At 48.0% G+C, this 27342-nt stretch overlaps 2 protein-coding genes and 1 non-coding gene across 4 annotated transcripts in view, besides 1 other annotated feature; 1 reads left to right on the top strand and 2 right to left on the bottom strand.

The window, feature by feature from the left end:
• The window catches only part of RANBP2 (RAN binding protein 2), a 1122820-nt gene that overhangs the window by 675594 nt on the left and 419884 nt on the right, over positions 1-27342 (bottom strand). The gene's annotated exons all lie outside the window — the stretch shown is intronic.
• Positions 1-27342, bottom strand: part of SH3RF3 (SH3 domain containing ring finger 3) — a 375430-nt gene that overhangs the window by 337927 nt on the left and 10161 nt on the right. The window lies entirely within an intron of this gene.
• Positions 17078-17127: a silencer, noted in NCBI's record as "silent region_11858". NCBI's record gives its function as "represses an Ori minimal core promoter by ATAC-STARR-seq in GM12878 lymphoblastoid cells {active_cell/tissue: GM12878}" and the evidence as "EXISTENCE:reporter gene assay evidence [ECO:0000049][PMID:35858748]".
• MIR4265 (microRNA 4265) lies at positions 25120-25218 on the top strand. The gene has a single exon (NR_036223.1). It is a non-coding gene; the product is annotated as a microRNA 4265 (primary transcript).

The raw sequence follows: 27342 nt of genomic DNA, 5'->3' as shown, positions 1-27342 counted from the left end.
AATTGCTTTGAAAAAGAACTTCAGGTCTTTATTTTCTGCTCCCTCGATTCCTTCTGCTCAGGACTTCTCCCCTTCACTCCCTCACTGGAATGTCTCAAAATATTTTCTGTAAATTTTTTCTGAATAATCTTTTCTTACTGACTCTTCCATGACTCAGCATGGCTGACATTGAGCAGAGAGAGCTGTAACACTACCAATGAGCTTGACATAGAGGTGAAGGGCATCTTTCTTTCTTTTTTTTTTTTTTTCTGTCACCAGGCTGGAGTACAGTGGCACAATCTCAGCTCACCACAACCTCCGCCTCCCACGTTCAAGTGATTCTCCTGCCTCAGCCTCCCAAGTAGCTGGGACTACAGGCACACACCACCACACTCGGCTAATTTTTTTATTTTTAGTAGAAATGGGGTTTCACTATGTTGGCCAGGATGGTCTCGATCTCCTGACCTCGTGATCCACCTGCCTCAGCCTCCCAAAGTGCTGGGATGACAGGCATAAGCCACCGTGCCTGGCCTGCATCTTTCCTTTGAAACACTGAGCACTGAGGGAAAAAGCCAACCATATTAAGAAGTCTGCACTACTTCTTTGTGCCTGACCCATTCCTAAGCTCTGCCCCCACCAGTCTCCACTCTGAAAGGTGCCACAGCTCTCCAGTGAGGCTCACCAAGGTATGTATCTACAGAATGAGCAGCAAACTGGGGGAAAAGGAAAAATGAATAATGCAATAGCAGCGGGAAAAAAAGGAAAGGAAGACAGAGCTAAAGTCAGACACTAAAACATAAAACTAGTGACCACCCATGTCACAAACAACATGGTCTTCTTGCACAGGCATCCAGCCTGGGCACACGTAGAGCACTGAATGTCTAGGGTGAGTCACAGATGCACTGAAATGTGCTGAAATAAACTCATTTAACACACTCATGCTAAATGATGATTCTTAAGTAACTAAAAAAAAGAAGGATCTGAGTGGGGAGAGTGGGGGCAGCAGAAAGCCTCCCCACTCGTCCATACCACCAGGCCATGGGGGACCTGCTATGTGGGCTCCAAGTGTGGCCTTTTCACTCCTGTGGTCAGTGCAGCACAGTGCTCTAAGGCAGAGTTGGCAATGTCTGTCAAGGGTCAAAATGTTCTGGGTTTTGCTGGCCACACAGTCCCCCACAGACAAGGCATCTGTGAGCAAGTGTAGCTGGGTCCCAACTACTGCTGGTCATAGTTTGACAGCTCCTGTCTTAAGACTTCTCTCTATTCCCCTTCCATCCAAACTTAACTTTCCTTCTAGCAGGGGTGGTGGGGTCTCTGAGCACACCATCCTCATTTCTCCAACCACCCTGTCAATGGACAGCATCCGCCAACATCTCCTGTTTGCAGCAGGAAGGATGAGGGAGGGAATGAGAAAACGCAAACAGTGGCCCTGCCAGTAGCACCAGCAGTTACTCTTTCCTGCAAAATGACTCTGAACCTTCTTGATACACCTAGTAAAGACTTCTTTGCAGGATTAGCACAGTCTTCCCTCAGCTTTTGAGGGTGATGATTTAATGTGGCTTAGGCAGCAAGTTGATGACCTAAGTTCATTTGTCCTTACTAAAGGAGGGGGGAAGCCAGGAACAACTAGCCCTGGGAGTAAGAACACAGAATTCTGTCCAGGCCCACTGCCAACAGAGATGGAAAATGATTCCGTGAAGGAAACTGGCCTTCCTCATTTATATTCCAAGGAAGACGATGACTAAGAAGAGGCTTTAAAAAGAAAAACAATTACGACCTCCCCATTGTCATTTTTATTTGCAATGGTCCAGTTGTAGTGTCATGACCATCATCCATAAGTGCCTTTGAAACCCTAAAGGAACTTGCAGCCTTGATTAGAAACAGGAAGAAAGGGGAAGTTAGAAACTCACTTCCTGGCTCAATAGGGTGCCAGTGGCAGTTTTTGCCAGCTTGCCAGGGCTGACTATTAAATTGCAGAGGTTCTGCAAGCCAGGTGATATCACATTGGTAGCCTGATTGATCATGATGGGAGTATTTACACCTTGGAAACTGGCAGTTGATACAAGTAAGTGCTCTTTTTTCCCCCTCCCAAAGATCCAATTTTTACACCTTTACCATCACATTGCTGCCTGGCTGAGTTCTAGAAAAGGTGAAAGTTTGAATGGGTAGAAGAGTAAATACTAGCTGTAAACTGGGAAACAGCCAGGCTTGGCCGAAGAGTCTACAGAAAAATAAAATTAAATAGGGCCAAATACTGTGGCTCACAGCTGTAGTCCCAGCTACTCAGGAAGCTGAGGCAGGAGAACTGCTTGAGGCCAAGAGTTTGGAACCAGCCTGAGCAACACAGCAAGACCCCATCTCTAACAAAATTTTTAAAAATTAGCCAGGGGTTGCAGCCTGTGCTGTAGTCCTAGCTACTCAGGGAGGCTGAGGTGGGAGGATCACTTGAGCCCAGGAGGCCGAGGCCGCAGTGAGTTATGATCAGTCATGTTACTGCACTTCAGCCTGGGCAACAGAGCAAGGCCCCAACTCTTTAAAAAAAGTAAAAGAAAAAAAAAAGAGAGAGGCATCAGAGTTTTCCTGGACCAAAAATAATTCCTTAAGGATTTAACAGACACAAGAGAAGAGTAGGCCTCCTCCATCCCCCACAGCCAGTGGGGTTCACCTTAGAAGCAAATTTATAAATACAAAAATCATGTAGAATCTCATTGTAACAAACAAACTAAAGCCCTGGAGAGGATGTAGGGGGAAGGGAAGGACATCAAGAAGCAAAAACATATCCAGATCACAAAACTGAAACCAGTCCTAGCCCATCTATCAAACTCTAAGTGCATTCTTTCATTCATACTTGGTCCAACCACAAATAGTTGGTAATAGACCAGAGAGATCATGGAAAACACATTGTTTGGAGGGAAGCAGAGCCATTATTAAGAAGTTTCATTCTTATCCTGAGCTGCCGACTGCACACAGGATGGCGATTCCAGTTACTCACTGTGGAATCGTGAAGTCTCCAAGCTTAAGAATATTTGCGGCCAGGCGCGGTGGCTCACGCCTGTAATCCCAGCACTTTGGGAGGCCGAGGCGGGCGGATCACGAGGTCAGGAGATCGAGACCATCCCGGCTAAAACGGTGAAACCCCGTCTCTACTAAAAATACAAAAAAATTAGCCGGGCGTAGTGGCGGGCGCCTGTAGTCCCAGCTACTTGGGAGGCTGAGGCAGGAGAATGGCGTGAACCCGGGAGGCGGAGCTTGCAGTGAGCCGAGATCCCGCCACTGCACTCCAGCCTGGGCGACAGAGCGAGACTCCGTCTCAAAAAAAAAAAAAAAAAAAAAAAAAAGAATATTTGCTCTTGGTTAATCTATTGAGAACTCCAGTCCGCCCTTTGATGGCCCTTAAACTTGCACTTGCAATTTCCTTTCTTTCAACACGGTAATCACCTGTTTCATTAGAGAAGAAACAAATGGCAGAGCCCTACAGTCAACACACCACACACCAAAAATAGTTCTGGGCTTGTGCCAAAGCTGCCCGCGAGTTCCTATTCCCGCCTCGGGGGTGAGCTCAGTTCTCAGACTCTGTGGGATCTCCTTGCTGGGTCCTGCAATTCCACTGTGGAAAAGCTGCCAAGGTCAACAAGGCTCTATTATTCTCAACTTCAGCCTCCTATTTGGCGGGATCAGTGCCCCAGCTATCACTATACAGACTTTGGGGGACTTTTCCCTCCAAATCAAAGGAGTCCCTCAGTCAGAGAGGGTGCAAATCCCTTGGAGAGGTGACAATTTCAGCTATCTTGAAAGGCATCAGCCAAGAGGCTCTTACCACCAAGCCAAAAACCAAGAGGTGGTTTTTTTGGTAATCATCTCTAACCCTGCAATACCAAGGTGAGAAAAGGACCCAGCCAAGGGGCTAAACATTATTCTCATTGTTAAAAGGTGATTCCTCGGGGATCTAGAACTAGAAATACCATTTGACCCAGCCATCCCATTATTGGGTATATACCCAAAGGATTATAAATCATGCAGCTATAAAGACACATGCACACGTATGTTTATTGTGGCACTATTCACAACAGCAAAGACTTGGAACCAACCCAAATGTCCAACAATGATAGACTGGATTAAGCAAATGTGGCACATATACACCATGGAATACTATGCAGCCATAAAAAATGATGAGTTCATGTCCTTTGTAGGGACTAATGTTAAATGACAAGTTAATGGGTGCAGCACACCAACATGGCACATGTATACATAGGTAACAAGCCTGCACGTTGTGCACATGTACCCTAAAACTTAAAGTATAATAAAAAAAATTAAAAATAAATAAATAAATTTAAAAAAGGTTGAGGAGCCCTAAGAGGGGAAAAATGAGAGAGGCCCGGCTCTCTGAGGGCTTACGTGTCAGAGCAACTTCTCGCAGTAGCTGTATTTACACCAGCGCCTTTTAGGAATTTTAACAGCTCTGCTGAGATGCTCCACCACCACTTGTCTTCAGTGAGACTTTCTAAGGAGATCAAGCCTAGGCACACATAAAGTAAGGTCCATGGTATCTGTCCTGGCGTCTTTCCAGGTCAATGTTAGAGCCAAAGCATTTGTAAAGGAAAACAAGCAGGTGTCCATCCTCAGCTCCTGTCTCTGCCAGCCAGCAGAATTCCCAAATCAGCATCCATAAACTCCCTCTAGATCCTGAGGACACATCCCAAGGAGGGGGCTGGAGGAGGGGAAGTACTTTCTGACACCATCTACGCTTTAGACACCTGCGACATATAAGATACACAGCCCCCAACCCTCCCCTCCCCAGGAGGCACCACTGAGTGATAGGTGATAGGCTATAGTTTGGATATTTGTCCCCCAAACCTTGTATTAAAATGTGATCCCCAATGTTGGACGGGGCCCGATGGGAGGTATTTGCATCCCCTATGAATAGATTAATGCCCTCCCTGGGGGTGGTGGTGAGTGAGCTCTTGCTCTACTAGTTCCCCTGAGAGCTGGTTGTTACAAAAAGCCTGGCATGTCCTGCTCCCGGCTTCCTCTCTCACTGTATGATCTCTGCACACCAGCTCCCCTTCGCCTTCCACAAGCAGAAGTAGCCTGAGACCCTTGCCAGTTGCCCAGTCTTCCAGTCAGCAGAATTGTGACCCAAATAAACCTTTTTTTTCTTTATTAACTTCCACAGACTTAGGTAGGTGCTAGACTAAGACATGTTCCCCTCCCCAGGAAACATCGCCTTACGATATGTAATGCACGTCACCCAACCATGCTCCAGGGAGGGTGTACAGGGGAAGAACAGACCATCAGGAAGCATCACATTCCCACTGGACAGAAAGGAAACGAAGGCTCAGGAGGCTGCCCCTCTTCCTGGAGTCACCCAGCTGGTAGGTGGGAGAGAGAAACCCGTGCATACCACACTTAGCCCCACCTTGTCTTCCTACACACTCCTAACTCTGTAGCACCCTGAACTAAACTCAACTCATCACTGCATACTCGTGCCTGACTTATAAGGTGGGGATTCCCCACCTCTCACCTGCCCCCAGGATTTAACTATTGTTCCGAAAGAACCAGTCTTGTTGGCATTGCTCATGCTTTATGCCTAGTAACAAGGATACATCAGGAAGCCTCAAACGGCTTCTCTTCTAAATGAACAGTCGATTGCCTTGTGATCACAAGCACCCTCACCTACTTCTGCCTCTCCATCTCTCACAGCCTTCACATCCAAGCTAGTGCCAGGCTCAGTTCTCCCAGGGATCCCCCACCTCTCTGAGCCCCTGCCACGCCCTCCTCTCAGCCACACCCCTGGTTGAGGCTCTAATCCTCTAATCCCCAGACACTCAAACAACTCCTGCCACAGTGGCCCACCTGCAGCCTTGCAGCCTCTCCTGGCCCTGTCCATTACAGCTGGATATGACTGTCCCCAAATGCACCTCTTCCAGCATCACGCCTCAGCCCCTGGGGATGTTCACATTTCTCAGCCAGTCCCCAAACCCTTCCAGACCAGCTCCCAGAGTAGGAGCAGGGACAGGCTGAGAGCACAGCCCCTGCAGTCAGAGATCTTGGCTTTGAACCCCAGCCCCACCATTGTTGAGTTCTGGGACCTGGTGGGCCTCATGTAGCTTTTCCATTGGAAAACAGGACTCACAAATGTGCTTACCTCTTGGAGTTACTGCTAGAATCAGATGAGATTAAGCCAGAGAGGCACAACTCAGAATCCACCACAGAGTCCTCACACGTTCTCCCTGCCAGAGGGTCTTTCAGCTGCGTCCTCTTGGGACCAAGTGTCCACCCTGTTGCTGGAAAGCACAAGGCTGCATGGCTACCTGCTCCTTCATTTCCATTTCCAACTTTAGCCCTGCCCTGCTTTGGGCACACAAATGTGTTTCTTGCCTTCTCACCCAACAAAGCATGGGCTGCACCCCAAGAAAGCCCTCTCTGGCCTCCTCTGTCTTGGGCAGCAACCTCATGCCTGTCTGTCACACTCCATGGGTCACCCTGCTCAGCAGCTACCGACTGACCTGGCTGTTCATCCCACAAGACCCTCAGCTTCCTGAGGGCAGAGAGTGACTTCCTGGTGACACCTGGCCCATGCAGATCCTGGCCCAGGTCTGACACTCTGGGCCCATAAATTGACTGATAATGTCATAAATCAGCAGTCTCCAACCTTTTTGGCACCAAGGACTGGTTTCATGGAAGATGACTTTTCCATGGACCTGGCGGGGAGATGGTTTTGGGATGATTCAAGCGCATCACATTTATTGTGCACTTTATTTCTATTATTATTACATTGTAATATAGAATTAAATAATTATACAACTCACCATAATGTAGAATCAGTTGGAGCCATGAGTTTGCTTTTCTGCAACTAGACAGTCTCATCTGAGGGTGACGGAAGACAGTGACAGATCATGAGGCGTTAGATTCTCATAAGGAGTGTGAAACCTAAATCCCCCGCATGTGCAGTTCACAATAAGGTTTGTGCTCCTGTGAGAATCTGATCAGACAAAAGATGGAAATCAAGCGGTAATGGGAGTGATGGGAGCTGATGTAAATACAGCTATAGCTTTGCTCGCTCTCCCGCCACTCACCTCCTGCTGTGCAACCCAGTTCCTAACAGGGCACAGACTGGTATCAGTCCATGGCCCAGGGATTGGGTACCCCTGTCATAAATAACAGCCAGATTTCTCAACTGTACTCACTACATGGACAATAAGCTGTGAGCAACAAGGAAAGCTCATTAACAAGGAAAGCTGACTTGTAAAACAAGCCAATTCTTCCCCCACTAAAATCCACAGTAATGCAGGAGGCCTCCGTTACAGAAATGCCAACAGCCTCATGCCCGCCCTGGTTCCCAAGTCCCTTCTGCACGCATACACCCTCGCCCTGGGGCTGGGCAGGGCAGGCAGCACCCTCTCGGCAGGACGAGGAAACCGCGGTACAGCAGCGGTCCTGAGAGAGAGGCAGCTGCGCCGGGATAGAGCCCATGCAGGAAGGCCAGCAGCAGAGCACAGGGAGGGGAAGCTCAAAGCAGAGCCTGGCACCACGGCTCAGACCCTGCTCTGTACCTGAGTCCCCTTCTCATGGGTGAACACTGTGTAAGGGCACCTTTTTGTTTCTTTGTTTTGAGACCGAATCTCACTCTGTCGCCCAGGCTGGAGTGCAGTGGTGCGATCTGGGTTCACTGCACCCTCTGCCTCCTGGGTTCAACCAATTCTCCTGCCTCAGCCTCCCAAGTAGCTGGGATTACAGGCGTGTGCCACCACACCCAGCTAATTTTTTGTATTTTTAGTAGAAACAGGGTTTCACCATGTTTGCCAAGCTGGTCTCTAACTCCTGACCTCAGGTGATCCACCCGCCTTGACTTCACAGCTGGCTGGCTTGTCATAAGGACACACTGAACTTTTACACATAAAGCATGTAGACCAGGGCTGGTCCAGAGTGCACACTCGGGAATCAGCCATTGCTACTTGCTTTGAAAGAAACACTTAGCAACTTCCAGAATATGTGTTAAAACATTCATCCATGATGTGGCATAATTACATCTGATTCTCAGAAATCCTCAAATCTCTTATCAGAAGAAATAGGGATGCTCTCACGACTTAGATCCCTCAAGCCTCAAAGTCCTGAGACACAAGCCTTATCATCCCAGGCAGCGAGGTGAAGACCCTCTGTCTGCAAGTCAGACAGCCCTGAGCGCCTCTGGACATGACACCATCCAGCTCCCCCAGCCAAGGCATCTTTCAGTGTGAAGGATGAAGTGGCTGAGCCTTGGGGGACTGAACCTGCCCTCAGCTGAACCTGCCCCCCAGGATGGTGCCCAATGACCCACGAAGGCAAGCCATGCAGACTCCTGCACTTACACACTGGATTCTCCCCAGGATGAGAGAAGAGGACACCTAAGCGTTGAGGGAGTCCCCAAAGCCATCACTGATTCACCTGTACCAGAAAGAGACAAGTGGCAACCGGGAGCCTGGAGGTGGCCCTGGACTTCCTGTCAGTCATCCACAGGAGCCTGAGGACAGTGTCCTCCCCAGAGCAATCATTTCCCAGCACAGCTTGCAGTCGTGTGTTTTGAAGTCTGACATGCCTGGGTCACAGTCCTGTCTTGGCACCTTACTAGCTATGGGACCCTCTTGCCACCTCTGTTTGCTTGTCTGTAAAATGGGAGTCCAGCTCCAGGCTCAGGAGCCAGATGACACAGTGCAATTGAAGCACGCAGCCCAGAACTAGAACATACCACGGGCTCAAGGAGGGTTACTTACTAGTAAGGCAAGTACTCCCTCGTCACTAAACAGTGGATTTGTATTAGCGGCCTGCAAATCAAACACGAGCAGCTGCCACAGAGAAAAGCCATCCTGAGGGTCTCCTAGGAGAGCTGTGTGGCCTTAATCCTGGACATGCTTTGCAGTGCTCCTCCCATACAATCCTCAATCCTGATAAAGGTGTCCTTTTACCCTCTGGATGATGAGGGCAAAGTCCCTGTTGATGACATCAAGAAATTTGTATGGCATCTCAGGATGATCCTATTAAATTCAATTGTAGGTGATAAAACAGGCAGCTCAGTAACCAACTGAATCACATCTTTATATCCCTTTCAGGTGGCTAGGAAGCACACTAGACTGGGATTCAGGAAGCCCAAGTTCCAATCTCCTTCTTTTAACAACCAGATGAGACCAAGGAAATCTTTTTCCTCATATGTTCTTGAAGACCCAATGAGATTATCTCTAAGGCCAGTTTCAGATCCAGAGGGTGTCCAGAGAGTATGGAAATGCAGATATTTTATTTTTACAGATTGAAAATGTCATTTATATTCAAGGCAACATTACACATATTCACCTTTTTAAATGATTTTTATGGATGGCACGTGGGAGTCTATAAAGCGAATGCAATATTTGTAATGCAATATTGAATTTTAAGTTTTTAAAAAGGTGCTGTGAAGGATCACTGTAGGAGACAGGAATGCGGGCTCTCTGCTGGCCTGACTGCAAGTTTAAAACTAGACCTACCAGCAGAGCTGAGGAGTAGAAGAGACGGTGAATATCCCCAGTCAATACTATGATCCCCTCTGATAACATTCTAACACTCTGGGACATCAAATTCAAGTGCTCTCATCCTAAAACCTAAGAAGGTCCTGTGGGGTGCTATGAGCCTGGAGCCACCTGTGTTTACCAAGGAGAGCCCTTCCCACAGTCAGATGATGCAAATCCTATGATGGAAAAATGACCTGGAGTAATATGTCATTTATGTGTGATTTCAGAGGGAAATAAAAACCTTTATTAACCTTATTGGTAGTCTTTAAATAAGAAATAGTATTTGAACTGGAAAGAAAGCATTAACTGCCTCCATTAGCCATTAGCAATAAATCACAAGCTGCCTCCTCTATTCCTCAGTTCTGTGAGTAGGTCTAGTTTTAAACTGGCAATCAGGTCAGCAGAGAGCCTACGTTTCTATCTCCTACAACAACCCTTCACATCCCTTTTTAAAAAACTTAAAATTCAGGCCGGGCACGGTGGCTCATGCCTGTAATCCCAGCACTTTGGGAGGCCGAGGCGAGATCACCTGAGGTCAGGAGTTCGTGACCAGCCTGGCCAACATGGTGAAACCCCATCTCTACTAAAAATACAAAAATTAGCCAGGTGTAGTGGTGGACACCTGTAATCTCAGCTACTCAGAAGGCTGAGGCAGAAGAATCGCTTGAACTCAGGAGGTAAAGGCTGCAGTGAGCCAAGATTGCACCACTGCACTCCAGCCTGGACAACAAGAGCAAAACTTCATCTCAAAAAAAAAAAAACCTTAAAATTCATCCCTTAGTGTATCCTCTCCCCTGAATCACTCAAAAGTTCAGAAACAAACACCCGAGTGGATACTTCCTTCTCCAGCAAGATCACCATCTAGGAGAGAAAGCACAGTCCCAGCAGGGGAAGATGCGAGGGGCGGAGAAAACACTGAAGATGAGATAGCAACTCGATCTCTGGTGGTTGGACTGTGTGTGAGCCAAGGCAGCACTGCCAGCCCCCTCAACCCACAACTCAACACCGAGTGCTAATTCACTGAGTTAAGAAGCTGAGCTCCAAACTGCTGAGATGGACTGCAAATCAGACAATGCAGAAATTGGGAGGATGGCTAGCAAGCAGGCAGCATCCTGCAAAGTGGCAGCCAAAGAGGAGAGGACCCAGCTTCCCAAAGTACGGGTGATTTCAGGCAGGGGCAAAATGACCCCAGTGGGAAGCATGGGGCTCTGGGGCCCCAGAGAATCCCTGCAGAGCTCAGTGACAGCATGCAGAATGATCCTGAGTTGCCAAGGAAACCTTAGCCCGATCCAATACAGCACTTGTTACAATACATATGACCATCTTGGAAAGACAGCTACCAAAATAGTTATAACAAAGCTTTAGCAGTTTGAAGGCTGACCACCTAGTTCTGGAACATCTTCCATTCTACGTTATTCACACACACCAGCACGTGTGCTATGATCAACATTGGCAGGATGTGGGAACTCCCTTTTTGTTCTCAAGTACTGCTAGAAACCCTATCAAAGTTCCCATGGGAACAGTGTTACAATTCAAGATGGAGTTACAGGCCAGGCACTGCTTGAAATAAATCACAAATAGCCAAAATTGTGTCATCAAAACAAAGATCCGGCCAGGCACGGTGGCTCAGGCCTGTAATCCCAGCACTTTGGGAGGCTGAGGCAGGCGGATCACGAGGTCAGGAGATCGAGACCACCCTGGCTAACACCGTGAAACCCCATCTCTACTAAAAATACAAAAATTAGCCAGGCGTGGTGGTGGGCGCCTGTAGTCCCAGCTACTCGGGAGGCCGAGGCAGGAGAATGGCAGGTGAACTCAGGAGGCGGAGCTTGCAGTGAGCCAAGATCCCACCACTGCATTCCAGCCTGGGCAACAGAGCGAGACTCCATCTCTAAAACAAAACAAAACAAAGATCCAACTTCCAACTCTATAATCACTTAAAATGGGAAAATTATTCCACAAATACTATAAAATAGGCATAGATGCAAGGTGCCCATGGATGAGAACACCACTGAACATCAGCATAGCAAGTTGTAGTTTGCAAAATGCCGAACACCACCGAACATCAGCATAGCAAGTTGTAGTTTGCAAAATGCCTTTATGTGGCTCATGGAACCCTTGCCCTGGCCCGGAGGGAGGCCAGAGCCCCAGCTTCCATGAGCACACCAGAACACACTCCACTCTATTTTATGAACCCAACAGAAAAATGACTCCTATGAAGGCTGGCTATCAATCCAACATGTCCTGAAATCTGGAAAGCCTCTTTTGACAAGTCGTGATTTGGAAAGCCAACACTCTCCAAAGGCCACCTGAGGAAGCTGGAGCTCGCTCTGCTCCCGAAGAATTTCCTTAGGGCAATCCAAGGCCATAGCAGAAAGTGGGGCTTCAGAAGGCTCTATGCAGCAGGTTGGTGTCACCACAGGTCTCCAAAAACACATACACTCTGAGACTTCTAAGGGATGGCCCAAAGTCCCTACCATCACCCCCCACAGACCTTGTCCAAACCCTGGTCCCACCTGACCTTGTCCAAACCCTGGCCAGCACTACAGCAAGGCCAAAAGTATTCATTTGGAGGCCAGAAGCCAGGACAAAGAGAAAGACAGACCCCAGGGCACTGTGACCTTCAGTGGGCTTCTGGCCATGAACTAGGGCCAATTCAAACTTAGGGAGCCTTGGTTTCTTCACCAGTGAAGAATTCAAGCCAGCTGAGGAAGCCTCGAGGCCTGGCCCCTCAAAAAGGCTGGTGGTCCCTTCCCAGGAGCCGTGCCCATGATGCTGCAGCTTCAACACTGGCAGACAATGGCAGCAGCGCTGGGGGGCCTTCTGTGTATCTGTACTCCCTACCCAGAAGCTTCCCCAAAACCACCCCCTCCATGATAACCCCAATCACCTACCCAAGCTGGGAAACAGGGGCTCCCTTCCTTGGTCCCTCCATTTCCCAGCTTCCATCCAATGTGGTCACCCAAGTGAGGCCAGAAATGACAGAAAGCACCACATGGATGCTAGGCCTGATTAGACCCATCTGCTGAGCCCCATGTAGGGATGACATTTTGAACCCTAACCAAGACAAAGCTCTAGAAACCAGTTTTAAACACACGAGATAAAAGTCTGGCAACCACAGCATATTGACAGTGTTCATACTTTGATGCATCAACACAGAAGGTTCTTGTCTGCAGTTCCATGTCCACCAACCAGAATCACTGACCAGGTCACTTGGCTGCCGCCCAAATTTGGCTTAATGCTCTGTGGTCACGTAATGAAATTCTTAATAATTTTATAATTGCACTTCATTTTGTCCTCGGCCCTGCAACTGGTGTAGCAAGTCCCGACTGCTAATGTCCCAGAGCAGTGGGAGACCAGGAGTCAGCCCTCAGGAAGCAGGTCTGCAGGAAATCTCAGCTCCAGCAAGATGGTGGCATCGGGGGTCGGGGGGTGGTTAATGTGGCTTTAGCCAAAATGCACCAGAACCCAGCTCAGCACAAAACGCACAGCAGACAAGTACACACCCTGGAGACTAGATCAAGATTCATTCCCAGTGTGTCAGAAATAAAATAACTGGGGTGATCTCATGTTTTACTATGCCACACTCTTTCACAGCGGCAGCTTCCACACACACAGGGCATCTGTCGGGCCCACCTCCTGGGGCAGGTGACCCGGTGATAAGGCATTGCACACTGAGCCGAGCCCATGCTTCCTCTGCTTTTGACCTTAATATTTCTCCTGGCAAGTTTCAGTTATTTCATGTCCTTTCATACCTTCGTTACTTCTTTCTCAGCAGAACTAATCTGTCCAAATTTTGGGCAAAATCAGCGTAATTGCCTTTCCAAACCTCAGCAAAAATACAAATTTTTTTAAATCACTAAGAAGAAGAGAGAAAAAAAGGCATGCAATTTTAGCTTCTTCTCAGAAATGGGTTTCCAGTGACAGCTTAAACACCTACATTCCCTTCAAGAATTAATGTAATTTCTTTTATTAGAAATGAATGTACTCATTCAGCCTCACCCATAGCAGGGTTTAGCAGAACGCTGCAGTGCATAAGTTTAGATGCTGGTTCTGTTCCATTGAAATATTTGCCCCACTGATTCCTTCCCCCTCCATTGGGAATGGGTTTTCTGACAAAAGCTTCACAGTGACTGTCTTGTCTTTGCAGATGGTCCCTTGTCTGTAGACTGGGTCCATTTCTGCCCATCAAAACGTGCTTCTAAGACAGGCTCAAACTCAGCTGCATCATAACAACAATGACTTCACACTAAAGTACTGCCTTTCCCAGAAGTTTTCATCCCAGAGATTAAAGCTTTCAATTGCGTGCCTCCATCGAGAACAAGGAGCAAGTACTAAGATTTACTCTTAAAGTTTGAAAGACAGGTGATATTCACTGTGAGAGGGCCCATGTGAGAGACGGTGATAGGCACCCCACCATCAGGCCATCGGGCCTGGGAGGGGACACTGGGTCCCCCCCGCCCCTCTGCCCATGCCTACTCAAGTTGGAACCCATTAATTGAATTTCCAATGATGAGCTGGGTTCAGCAGTCTTGAAACCATGAAATGCTTACTCTTTATTAAATAATGCCGTTTAAAGAGAATGATAATCCCCACAGCTTTAAATATAAATCTGATAATACACAATGTAAATAATAAAAAGGCAAAAATCCAATTTCCATGCAGTGAACTTTCAAACACTTCGTTGTTTCCAGTAAATGAGCTTTCGCTCTGAATGCTGTAATGCCACTGTAGGCCCATCAGGCACCCGGAACAAGGCTATTATGCTCTCGTTCTCAACTTGAGATCGGAGCCCAGAATTATTTATTTGATTTGCTGTACATGTCAGCTAACAAAAGCAATATAAGAGGGATTTGCCAAATGCACCAGGGAAAGGGCAGGCCACCCACCCACATTCCCCACAACTATAAAGACACACCACAACAACAAGGGGAACATGCCCACCTCCCGTGATTATAGGTACTGCCTGTCACCTCGGAAAATGAACCACCTGACAGGTGACAGTTTTGTGATAATTTATTTCTAAGACGCTGAGCACTTTTCCTAGGAAGAAATGTAATTCCAGACACCAAATTTCATCCTCTCCAAAAAGAGGCTAGGAGAAAAACAAAATTAGACTCCATGTCCATCAAGACCACTGAAAATAGACTGCTGATGAGACTTGTCAGAGAAGTAATAACTTCCCATTGGGAAATTTAAATAATCAGCTGGGTATGAAAAATATCCTCAATCTGGGTTTCAGACCAATTTCTCAGCATGCATTTTATAAGCCCTCCAGGCTGTTATTATATTAACTTCAAACCAAAAATTCCTGCAGTCCTCTGCAGATTCTATCATGATGACAATTCGGAAATCATAGGAAATGTCATATTGTTGCCTATAAACCACAATTTGCAGATGCAAATCTATTAGAGTCATAAAAAGTGCACTGGTGCCAGAACTTTATTATGATATCTGAAGTGGTCTGATCCGTCAGAGCTGAGCCTTTCCATACAGCAGCCACCTGTGGGCACCACATGCCTACTGGGCCCTGGAAACCGGGAAGTGTGACCTCAGATGTACTGCAGGGGTGAAATACACATGGGCTTCAGGCTCAGCATGGATGAAAGGATGCAAATTAATAAGTTTTCATAGTAACTACATGCCGACATATTTTGGATACAGTGGGTTAAATATATTCTTAAAATTAATTTCACCAATTTCTTTTTACCATTTGTGACGTGGCTACCAGAAATTTTTAAATTAAATATGTGGCTCAAATTCTATTTGTATTGGATGGTGCTGCTTTGGAGTATAAAATTAGGAATTTGAACCATCAAAGGATGGTTTATTTGAACACCTGTTAAACCATTAGCTTTTCATGAATGTTTCTGAGACGTGTAGGCACAGATTTCCAGGAAGGAAAAAATTCTGTATTCAGTCTGTTTCCATGGCCACAAACATGGAGCCCCACAAACATGAAAAAGCCTCGGACAAGAAGACAGCACAGATACCTCAGTGTCCTGGGCCACTGGACACATATTTTCAATATATTCATTGCACTTTGTGAATCAAGAACCCATCAAATATAAGCAAGAACCCAAGGACCACCACCCCTCACCAAATGCAGGGCAAATACATTGGTGTGGCTGTTGGCTTTTGTGCAATGATGCAATATTATCCATAAAAGCCTCTCCCTTGCATTGCACTCCATAAGCAGTGTCGACCTTCATCAATGTTTCAGCAATGGAAAAGGTACCACCTGACTTCCCCCATCAGCACCTTGAAATAACTAGCTTCTTTATTTGAATGCTCTTTATGTTCAGCCATAAAGCTCTCCCACTGACTTATATGCCCATATTTTTTTTCACATTTATAGTATGGTAAAAGCACAAAACTTTTTTTTTAATTTCTCCCCAAGTCTGAACAGCCTGATAAGGAGGTAACAGTGTGAGATTTGAGGAGATCAGAACAGAATTCTAACCCCAACCCACACCTCCACTTCCTGCTCTGTGAAATGAGGCTCATCGCACCAATCCCCCAGAAATGTAGAGCCAGACTGGAACCAGAGGCAGCCTGAGCTCAGATCCCAGCTCCACGATTCACCAGCTGTGTGACAAGCTACTCAACTTCTCTGGGCCTCACTTTCCCCGTCTGCACAATGGGGGTAATCATAGCACCTATCTATACCTGTCCCACTGTGTGGTTAAACAGACTAAGTGAATTAATAAGTTGAATTCCTCGTTTTTGTAAAAAAACTATTTTTCTAAGAAATTGTTTTTTAAGTGAAATAATGAGCAGAGTAGTTCCAGGCTCATAAATAAAATGGCTTCGACTATCATCAGGTTATAGACAAAAATCCCTAGCATGGTCTTGTACCACCTGCCTCGGCCATCCTCTCCAGCCTCATGCCCCCTCCCCCAACCCTTCCCCTCCTTTCATTTGCTCCAAGCTCCTCAGGACCCTAGGCTTCCATGCTTGCCATTCCCTCCGCTGGAACACTCTTCCTCCCTCTTTACCTGGCCATGTCCAACTCATCTTCCAGGTGCAGATCTGGCAGGATTCTCCAGGTGCTGGCTCTCACAACCACTTCCTCTACACCACCTTTTGTTGGCCTTCTGCAGTTTAGATCAGTGCTGCTCACCCCAGCACTGGCATCACCTGGGGACCGTTGAATCTGATGCCAGGCTGCACCCAGACCCATCACAGGGCCCTGGGCTGAGACAGACATCAGTGTTTGGGGAGGTTCCCCAGGGGACTTCAACATGCACCCCAAGTCAAGAACCACTAGTTTAATAAAAGAACACAGCTGCAATTAAAAAGTGATTTCAACCTTCCACTGGGACAAAAAATATCCACGAGCAGAAAAAGAACCCCCTGGTATTTTAATCTTAATTAAGTCCAACTGGAGTACAAAAATACCTGCACTACAAAGCATCTCCACTGTAGCTAAGGTTTTCCAATTGTCACTTACTCACAACGTCTTGATAGAGCCCCCATGGCACCAATTAGAACGTAAGCACCACGAGGCCAGACTATCTTGCTCTCTGCAACGTTGCTGCTGCCACAGAGAGCCAAAGGACATGTGGGTGCTCAATGGACACGTGCAGGGAGATGCTCAGCTGTCCTCCTGCTGGACCTTGCATGCAAGACCCAGGGACGGCTGCCTTAACACACTTGCTCTGTCAAACAAGCGAATTCCCCTTGGGTCCTCATGGTAGAGAGCCCTGTGCCTTCCTTTGAAGCCATTCATCTGAGGTCCATGAAATGCTGTGGCAACCTCTGAGATTAAAGAGGTTTAGAAGTGCAAATGACTGTCAATGTGAATATTAATAGCTACGTTATTAATAACGAAAGTCTCTGCCAGACACTTGACTCTTGATTAAATGGAGTAGAGGAGCTCAAGTCAAGCCAAAGAGACTTCTCAGCTCTAAGCCAATGGATCTCCCAGAGAACGGGTCCCGGGGGGCCATAGAACATTCTTAGTGTCTGACTAGAGAAGTCCGAATAAAAGCAGTGGGTGTGGACCAAGGACAGCAGTGTGGCCCTGCCCTGAGTCCTGCCCACTCCATCAATGTGAGCTCCTAGGCCAGTCTCAGCTTGGCTCCCTGCTCCTTCCCAGAGCCCAGAACAGTGTCTGGCCTGCATGAGGCACTCAATTGAAGCCTCTGAAGGAAGGAAAGAGCAAATGAATAAATGAGAAGAGAAAGGGGGATCTGCAGTTGAAAGCCAGAAGTGCAAACAGGGAAACAAAGATTCCCAAAGCTTGCCTGGGCTCTGTCTGCTCCACAAAGAATAAAGTCTAGAACTTGATTTTTTTTGGGTAAAACCACCAATCAGAATTGTTCCACAAGCCATGAATTCACCTAAAATACTTTTTAAAAAAAAACACTGCCATGATTGCTGTCCCTACACATTTTTGAGACCTAAAAATAAAAGAACACCAGCTGTCCTGCTAAACAAGCATCTGTCTATGACCGAGCCCCAGTAACTTCAGAACTCAATTCACTACACATTACGCTCTGCTTCTTCAGCCATGAATGCACTTTTCAGCATTAGAAATTATCCCTTTCACATTTTTAAACGCTGTGGCTTCTGCCTGACTAATGCCATCTTTAATTATACATAATCGAGTATTTTACTGTGATCTAATGGGGTCTATTACTCATCAAAATGGCACCAGTCAGCAGTAATATTCCCCAGAGCCAATTACTCAACCCTTCTTTCATTCTTCCAAAGTATCAGCCCACACGTGCAGAAATTTGTACACAGTTTGAGCTACAGCATCTTACCAATTTGTCCAAAAAGGGAAAAAAAGAACGCCTTTAAGAAGCCCTCCCTATGATGGCTGGCTCATGAGCTCTGCCATAGTGACATGAAGAACCACGGATGGCGCTCTGGCCTGGGCTGGCTGCAGCACACCGTCCCGGTGGATTCCCTCACGTGCTCTGCTCATGTGGCATGATCGGGGCCCATCTCACAAGAGAAAACAGATACTGCAGAAGGTACCCAATTTGCCTGAGTCCTAGAGCAGGCAGGTGGGAGAGCCAGGTTTCCACCATCGGTAAGAACACACTGCATACTGGGTGCATGAGACCAAAAGGCCACACAAAGGGGGCTGTGTAGGACCCGGCTGGCAGCCCAGCCAGATGGTCCCTTCCCTGAACTCGAATTCCACAGTCACCATGCAACAAACCACCCGACTGACCTTGTCCATGATACCATGGATTTTGAGGGGCCCACAGATCTTAAGCAAACCTGTAAAGATCAGCAGAAATGAGCTAGTCCCCAAAACTCTTCATTTAAAGAGATGAACTGCCAATCAATAACTATAAACGCAGAGTTTATAAAAGGTCTAACTTTATATGTATATATGGAAATGCATATGCATACTCATCTACAGGAGTTATTAAATGACAGATCAATGGGCTAGGCTCCAATTCGGGATATTTTAGCTAAAACAACTGCTTGTTAACTTCGTAAATATTTAGAAGAGAAATTAAAATTACAAAACCAAAGTGCCCTAAGACCCAGAAGCCGGAAACTATACAAGAAAGGTCACTTCATGGGCAATTGACAAATAAATCATTTTCAAGAGAACTGGGAATCGATAACACGCTATGAGACCTTGATATAACCCTCCTGAATAATTGACTAGGCCTCTTTTTGGACCATTTACGGTACTATGTTTAGCATTCCATTTAGTGCTAATTCCTTCAAGTGTGGGCTTCTTATCAGATCTGTTGACCAAGTGGTAGATGGAAAATTATAAATACGCACAGATATGATGTTTCTCTAGTATACAAACAGCATACTGAAGCTGCAACTCAACAACTATCTTTCATCTGGCCCCAGCAACAACAAGGTGCTTATCAGCGCAGAGATAGTCTCGTCCACAAAAGCATTTGAGGTTCCCTGATGTGCCTCTGATAGAGAGAGAGCAGCACCACCTCCCCACACCCCCATATTTACATCTTTCGAGCAAACCTCTCAGCAGCAGCGGACAGCTGTAATTCCAAGAAAGTCCAGGCATCCCGGTCTTTTCTCCCAGGCACCTTGAGGAAGTGCCAGCCAACCTCTGTCTTTTGGACAAAAAGAAACCCACCCTCTGACTCGCTCCAGGGTCACCAAGAGGGGAAAACGAGACAGGGAAGAAGAGAACTTGTTTGGACAGTTGTTGGGAGGGCAGAGCCTCTACTTAGGAGAAAGCCTGAGACATCATCAGGTTGGGAGATGAGTCCCAGGGAAGGGCCCAGGAGGAAAGATGGGAACAGTTACTGCCAGAAGTGTTTTCTAACAGGACTCTGAGGCCTTCATAGGATATTGGGGCGGGGGGGGGGGGGGGGAGGGAAAAAAGAAGAGAAGAGGGGAAGAGAGGGAGGGGAGGGGAGGGGAGGGTTAGGAAGGGGAGGACAGAGGAAAACAGAAGGAATGGGGGGGGCACTAAAGAAAGGAGAGATCCGCAAGTTTTCGAAGGAAGGATTGTAAAAAAAGATACTCAGATGTAGACTCTATGGGGCCCCCCAATCCAGGCCCTTCCTCAGGGTCCCAGCCTGACTTTGGGGACCAAAGCAGCCTCAAGGAGATGGTCAGTCAGCCACCCATGGTGCAGACCCATGGTGGAGGAAGGGCTGGGCCTGAAGGTGGTGCTGGGGAGAGCGTGCATTCAGAGGTAGGCTTCTTGGATCCTAAACAGAAACAAGAAAGTGCTAGGAAGTGCCCTTCCTCCTGCCATTGAACATTCACAGGACCCATGAGCTTGTCCACCACACTGGAGGCCTCTTGGCACGGAATTGATGCAAGAAGACTCCACAGACTCCACAGAAATGGGCCAGTGATACAGAGGAGTGATTAGTCACTAGTATTCTTTTGCTCTTGAGGCCCTGGCCACCTTTGGGAAGCTGGAATGATCCCTTTGGCAATTTGTCCCAGTAACATTTCAGGGACCTTTACTGATGCCCTTTGCCTGACCCTTAATCTGGCTATAAGAGCAGCCAGAACTAAGTGACCAACAAGTGTTAGCTCCAATAATAATGGCCATTATTAGTGTACCATGCATTCTAATACGTATTCTAATGAAAACTTAAGACTCAAGAACAGTAACAGTGGTGACACCTCACCTTCACTAAATCTAACTGTTCAGCTGGTACCTCTCTCAGCACTTTTCCTGCATGGACTCCCTCGGCCCGCATGGACTCCGTCGGCCCACATAGACAAGGACACTGCGGCCGGGAGGTCACACTGCCAAGCCCCTTGACTTGCTCAGGGGTACACAGCAACAATGTGTGGGGAGGGAGACATGAACCCAGGCATTCGGGCTCCAGGGCTCCACGCACACCCATAGCCCTACGCAGCCTCCCCAGCTCTGCGGCTCCGTCCTGCCTTTCAGCCTGGTGATGTGGAAGCATTGCCACTGGCCACTACACCCCTGACCCCATGCCAACCAACAAACCAATACTGCTCCTGGGTTCCCGCCCTTTCACACGGGTGGGGAGGCTCAACGGATGGTGTGGTCCTGACCTGTGAGAACACCCAAGACCTGTAAAACAACCAGAAGATAAATTCTAGAAAAGTGCTCCTTAGGAAGTCCACGAGAGTCTAGAAACGCATGGCGATAGCAGTGCCAAAGGTCGCTCGACCATGCGTGCAACAGTGAGGCCCCCCGGACAGCCTAGGGGTGGAGGATGTGTGAGGAAGCAGCCCCTTTCATGAGGGCTTCTCTGCAGCCTCCCACAGATGAGAAAGGAGGCGGCATTCCCTCACGGACAGACAGACCAATGGTGAAGGCGACCGGTCTTCCATAAGCAAAGAGCCAACAGCAGGAATGAACACAGTGCAGGAATAAGAGAGGGGCAGGGCTCACAGGGTCATGAGCAGGGCCATGGGACTGCAAACCTGGCATGAAGTCCGGACTAAAGGGGGCTGAGTGGGCTTGTAACCACCAAACAGCATTTTAAGACAATCACCGGGGCCACAGGCACAGATGGACTGGGGAGACCGTGGTCAGGAAGGACCCAGCCAGGACACGGCTCTGTCTCAGAAGCAGCAGAAAGGCAGGAGTGAACTGCCCCTTACAAGAGAAAGAAATGACCAAACCTGGAGACACAGACAGAGCCGGTGAGGGAAGACTCAGAGATGACTCCAGGCCCCGTAAGAGGGCCCTTAACACTCTGCTTACGAGCTTCTCCAAAGGGCCCTTCCTGACACGGAGCCCTGAGTTTCTTATGCCACACCTGTTAGAGCCCAGGAGCCGGGTGTGAGCCCGCTGCCCTGAGATCGGCACTGAACGCGCTCACCCCACAGTGCGCAGTGTCCACACCGCCCCAGCACCCCAGCTCTGGGAACAAAGCTTGCTGAGCGAGGCCTATTCCCACCATGCCTTCCGCCCCCTGCCCGTCTCTTGGTTCTCAACCCCGGGTCAGTGCTCTGCTGTGGCTCAGGCTCCAGCCTGGTGCCTGACTGATGCAGACAGTGTGAGGTGGCCCCTGCCAGGCATGCATCACCAGCTGGAGGTGGGCCTGGGAGTGGCCCAACCTGGACCCAGTGCAGTGGCATAAGGACTCGGGGAACACCTGTCATGTCCAAAATAAATCCCAAAGGCTGGGTTTCTCATGTTTGCCATTTAGGTTTAAAAATCAAACAAAGCAATTTTCCCAACGCTGCTTGCAAGCATAAAATTGCCCTGTTCCTCATATTCACCTCGTTCAAACTCTTCCCTCATACAAAGCCTCAGCACATCCACAGCTGGGCGTGAGCCTTCAGACACACAGGAAACCAGGGCTGAAAGAACAAACCTAGAGACGTCATGGTGAAAGCTAGGTCTGCTTGTTCTATGACTTGAGGCAGCTTTGTGTGTTTTTTAAAAGTACTTTTCATTATCATGTTAAATTTATATTTCCCCTGTTTTATTGAGGTATAACAGACAAATAAAAATTGTATATATTTAAGGTATACAAGTGATAATTTGATATACATATACATTCCAGTTAATATATATCTATCACCTCACGTGGTTACCTTCGTGGTGTCATGAAAATACTTAAAATCTATTCTTTTAGCAAAGTTCAAGTATATAATCGAGTATTGTTAACTATGGTCACCATGCTGCACAGTAGAACTCCAGAATTCATTCATCTTATAACTGAAAGTGTTACTCTTTGACAAGTATCTCCTCTTCCCACACTTCCGGCGCCTCGTAACCACCTTTCTACTATCTGCTTCTATGAATTCAGTGTTTTTAGATTCCGGATATGAATGAGATCACACAGTATTTGCCTTTCTGTGTCTGTGGCTTGTTTCACTTCGCATAACGTCCTCTAGGCTCATCCATGCCATCACAAATGGAAAGATTTCCTTCTTTTTTAAGATTGAATAATATTCCATTGTTTGTGTATATACGTGTGTGTGTGTGTGTGTGTGTGTATACAGCACAGCACAGGCAGCCTTTTGTTTGTTTGTTTGTTTGTTTTGTTTTGTTTCAGACAGGGTGTCACTCTGTTGCCCAGGCTGGAGTGCAGTGGTGCGATCACGGCTCACTGCAGCCTCAACCTCCTGGGCTTAAGAAATCCTCCTACCTCAGCCTCTTATGTATCTAGGACTACAGGCATGCACCACCATGCCCAGCTGATTCTTTTTTTCTTTTTTTATTTTTTGTAGAGATGGGGACTTGCTATGTTGCCCAGGCTGGTCTCAAGCTCCTGGGCTGAAGCGATCTTCCTGTCTTGACCTCCTAAAGTTCTGAGATTACAGGCATGAGCCACTGCACCCAGCCCACTGCACTTTCTTTATCATTCATCTGGTGATGGACATCTGGGTTGCTTTCAGATATTGGCCCTGTGAATAATGCTGAAATGAACATGAGATTGCACATCTCGCTTTGAGGTTCTGATTTCACTTCAACTTAAGGCATTTTTTATCCAAACTATGGTCCTCCAAGCCTCAGTTTCACGATACTTACTTAATGAGTTCCTTTAAATTGACTCACTTTTTATTTAAATTTGTTTCCAAATGAAATTCCATGCAACTGCCACAATTTTTCTATATGCACCACTTGACAAACAGAATGGACCATTAAATGAAAACTTTAATATAAAACGTTTCCCAGGTTCCTCCTGAGGTTACCTTGTGGCCATCATGGCAGGCCCCCCACACTGGGTTCCCGGGCTCAGGGACACCACCAGGAATACCAGCATCCCAGTGGCACTTTCCCTTTCCTCATCTCTAGTGCCAAATCACACTCCAGCAGCCAGGACACCAGCCCCAAGCCCCCGGCACTCCACTACCACCCATGTGCTGTATCTGTCAGCACGACAATTGTCACCTTGAAAGCCGACATCCTTGACAATTCCTCAACCTGACAGAAATTTCCCACTTAAGTTTAGAGAGTGAAAACGTCCCACAATGACAGCCACCTTTCCCCACATTTACCGACAAGCCTATAGCACTTCCATCAGTCAACAACAATCCTCGATGCTTTGGCAGGTGAAGCCAGAGGACACCAACGATCAGAAAATAAACCCAGGCCCGACAGCCCATGCTCCGCTCAGTTGACCTCACAGGTGACTCCAGGATGGAGGGCTCCAAGATGCAGCCAAGCAGAGGCGTTCTGCCCCCAGAGAACCCAGAGAGGCTTCTGGTGACAGGACTAGAATCCTCCTCCCTCAGCCACTGGGGAGAGCAGAGTGCCCCGTTGTCCCTGGGGAGCCCAGGAGGCAGCCCCTCCCTCACTCTCGGCCGCTGTGCCTGCAAGCTGGGTGCCTGTGTGGGTGCTGGGGGCCAGGGAATGGGAAGAAGTCACGGGACACATATTTGATTCCAAGTTTGTGGAGCTAACCCCACAGGGTGCTTTGGGGTCCTATTAAAATCAGAGGAGGCACATTTTAGAGTAGAATATAACATGCATGGGAATTTTTAAGAAAAAATAAGACTGTAAACACCTATTCCTGAGAACACCAATGGAAGGGATGTGGGTGGGGAGGTGGGGCAGCTGGCAAAGAACTGGAAATGCACAGCTCACCCAGTCACAAAGGCGCAAGAGTCCGCCCAGGGGGCTGGACCATGGGAAGCATTCCCTTGCTGCTCTCCAGGAGCTCAGGGACCCCACCCGGTAGGTGACTCAGGGTGGGGCCCAGGGGACAGGCCAGGGGCTGCAGCAGAAGTTCTAGGCACATACCTGAGACCCCCCCCCCAGGAGACTCAAGGACCCCAGAAGAGGACTTGGGCAGGGGGCTGGAAATGATGGCCACACACCAGAGGAGGTGTCACAGAAGTTTGTTTGAGACTTCCGTGAGTGTAGAAAGGGCCCTGCCACCTGCAGAGCTTGCAGGAGGTAGGAGAAGCAGGCAGCCGACAGCAGACTGGCACATCTGGGGGGTCCCATGGGTGAAAGGAGGCGAGGACCTGGCTTTGCTGAGCTGGACACAACCGTCACCCTGACCTCCTTCTCCAACCAGTACCCCCTCCTGTTGATACTGTCAGGAGACTTGTTCCCCGGGGTCTAGAAAATGACTATTTTGCTTTCTCCTGGGAGATGCTGGCTTTGGGTCCTAACTCTTCTGTCAAGACACACTGTTATCCCCAGGCGTCATCACTCTTCCTGGGATCTGCACCCTAAATTCACATCCGATTTCACGATAGAGAAAAGTGCAGTGGGTTGGAGCTTCAGCCTACACCTGTAAAGAATTGGTCAGCCTGGGGACTGGTGATCTCTGCAGCTGTGGGCTCAGCTCTGGGCTGGGCCTGGTCACTGGGAAAGGCAGGCATGTGCCTAGGTGCTGCAGAGGTCTCGAGCCCCTCCCATGAGCTTGGCGCGGTGCGGAGGGCAGCCTGTGAGTGAGGCTCTGAGCCCCACTCATCACTGAGCAAGTTGGAGGAAGAGGGACCCAGGCAGAGACGAGAGGCTGCCTCCAGAAAGCCAGCCAGTGGCAACTGCAAAAGCCGACAGAGCACTGGTTGCCAGGAATGCGCACGGCCCACAGAGGGGAAGAGTGAGGAAGGGTCACTGAAACAGCCTGAACAAATAAAAATGGAGCCAGAAACTGCACAGAAGGGAGACAAAAGAGAGGAATCCGCAGAAACCTGGGCTCCGGGGGGTGTGGTTGCATCTTTCCACCTGGATGAAGTCGACTAAAATGAGCACCAAGGATGGGTCCCAGCATAGCATTGATCCCTTCAATACAACTGATGTAAATGGCTCACACCAGCCAGATACCGCCTGCCCAACAGGAGTCTGGTTGTCAGGATGCTTTAGGGTTGTCCAGTTCACAGCAGCCCCGGATGGAAGGTGGGGGTTATGAAAGTAAGGGCTTCTCAGCCCATGAAGTTGTTTACAGCAGTGATAGTACCAAGTGGAAAACTGATACCCCTGGGGCCAGACTGTGTAGGTGTTGATAGTCTAAGATGGGGCACTGATTAGTTTGGGGACACAGAGGAGATGTTACCTTTAACATCAATCATATTGCATAGACTGGCTATTAACCACGTGTAGAGCACATAGGCCTTTTGCAGAAGGGAAAAAATTCTATTTCCCATAAATCTAAAAAGCATGAAATTGGCCGGGCATGGTGGCTCACGCCTGTAATCCCAGCACTTTGGGAGGCTGAGGCAGGTGGATCATGAGGTCAGGAGATCAAGACCATCCTGGTTAACATGGTGAAACCCCGTCTCTACTAAAAATACAAAAAAATTAGCCAGGCATGGTGGTGGGCGCCTGTAGTCCCAGCTACTCGGGAGGCTGAGACAGGAGAATGGTGTGAACCTGGGAGGCAGAGCCTGCAGTGAGCCAAGATCGCACCACTGCACTCCAGCCTAGGGGACAGAGCAAGACTCCGTCTCTAAAAAAAAAAAGGCAAGAAATTTCTGAAGTCTGGGAAAAATAGAAAAAGAACATCAGTATGTAAAGGCATTATAAGTAGATTTATGATTCACAAAGAACCGGCAAAAGAGAAGGTCCATGGCTGGATGCAGCTGATCTCAGGAAGAGAGAGAACTCCAAACACGTGCGTCAACCACATGCAACCACGTGCATCAATCGACCCATATGCACCAACCATGTGCATCAATGCAGCCTTCAGAAAAGAAGTGACAGTGATGGTGCAGGAGGGGACGGTGGACAGAGGGAAAAGGGGCCTCCCAGGACTAAGTGGAAAGCCTTCCGCAGACCTGTCCTCTTCACCCCAGCCTTGTCATGTGAGTTATGTAGGCACAGTTTCAACGTCATGAGTCACTACCTCTGATCAATAAACCCTCCTGTTTTTTTAAAGCAGCTATATTTGAGACAAACAGCCTCCATCTGCCTAGGAACACAAACCTGAACAAACTAAGCCCCAGTGGCGCTGCCTTTTGGATGTAGACCCCTGTCCACACGACTCCAGATGTCAAACTGCCAAGCAATGGACACATTGGTCTTTGGCAAAGAGGTGATTGAAAAGCTCAAAAACTGCAAGTCTTAAACTCCATTGTTCAATGGGCTGCTGACCCATAGCAGGTGCCCTTCTGCACTGTGAGGCTCAACCACAGGATCTGATATACGTCACCTCATTTGATATGCTGGGGACAACAACTTTAAATCCAGGAAAACTCTTGTTACTGTACACAAGTCAAAGCTTAGTTTGTCAAACCGAGACAGCAGATACACTCCCAATTCCATAAGGAACACATTTTTAAATTAATTTTTAAAACTCAGATTTCTAGCATTGGAAGTTTTCCCTCTGCTATAGTCCACAACACAAATTCAGCCACAGAAGGCACAAGGGGGATGCCGCTCAGGATACAAGAGAGTTGTCTTCCTATTAGGAGTGTGACTGTGTGAGAGCATTCACCTTTCATACTGCACATGTTTAGACTACAAACTTGGTCCAGACAATGA

This window comes from Homo sapiens, chromosome 2, assembly GCF_000001405.40.
Source record: "Homo sapiens chromosome 2, GRCh38.p14 Primary Assembly".
Taxonomy (NCBI): domain Eukaryota; kingdom Metazoa; phylum Chordata; class Mammalia; order Primates; family Hominidae; genus Homo; species Homo sapiens.
Note: the sequence above shows the minus strand (reverse complement) of the source record. Positions and strands in the feature narration are given on the sequence as shown.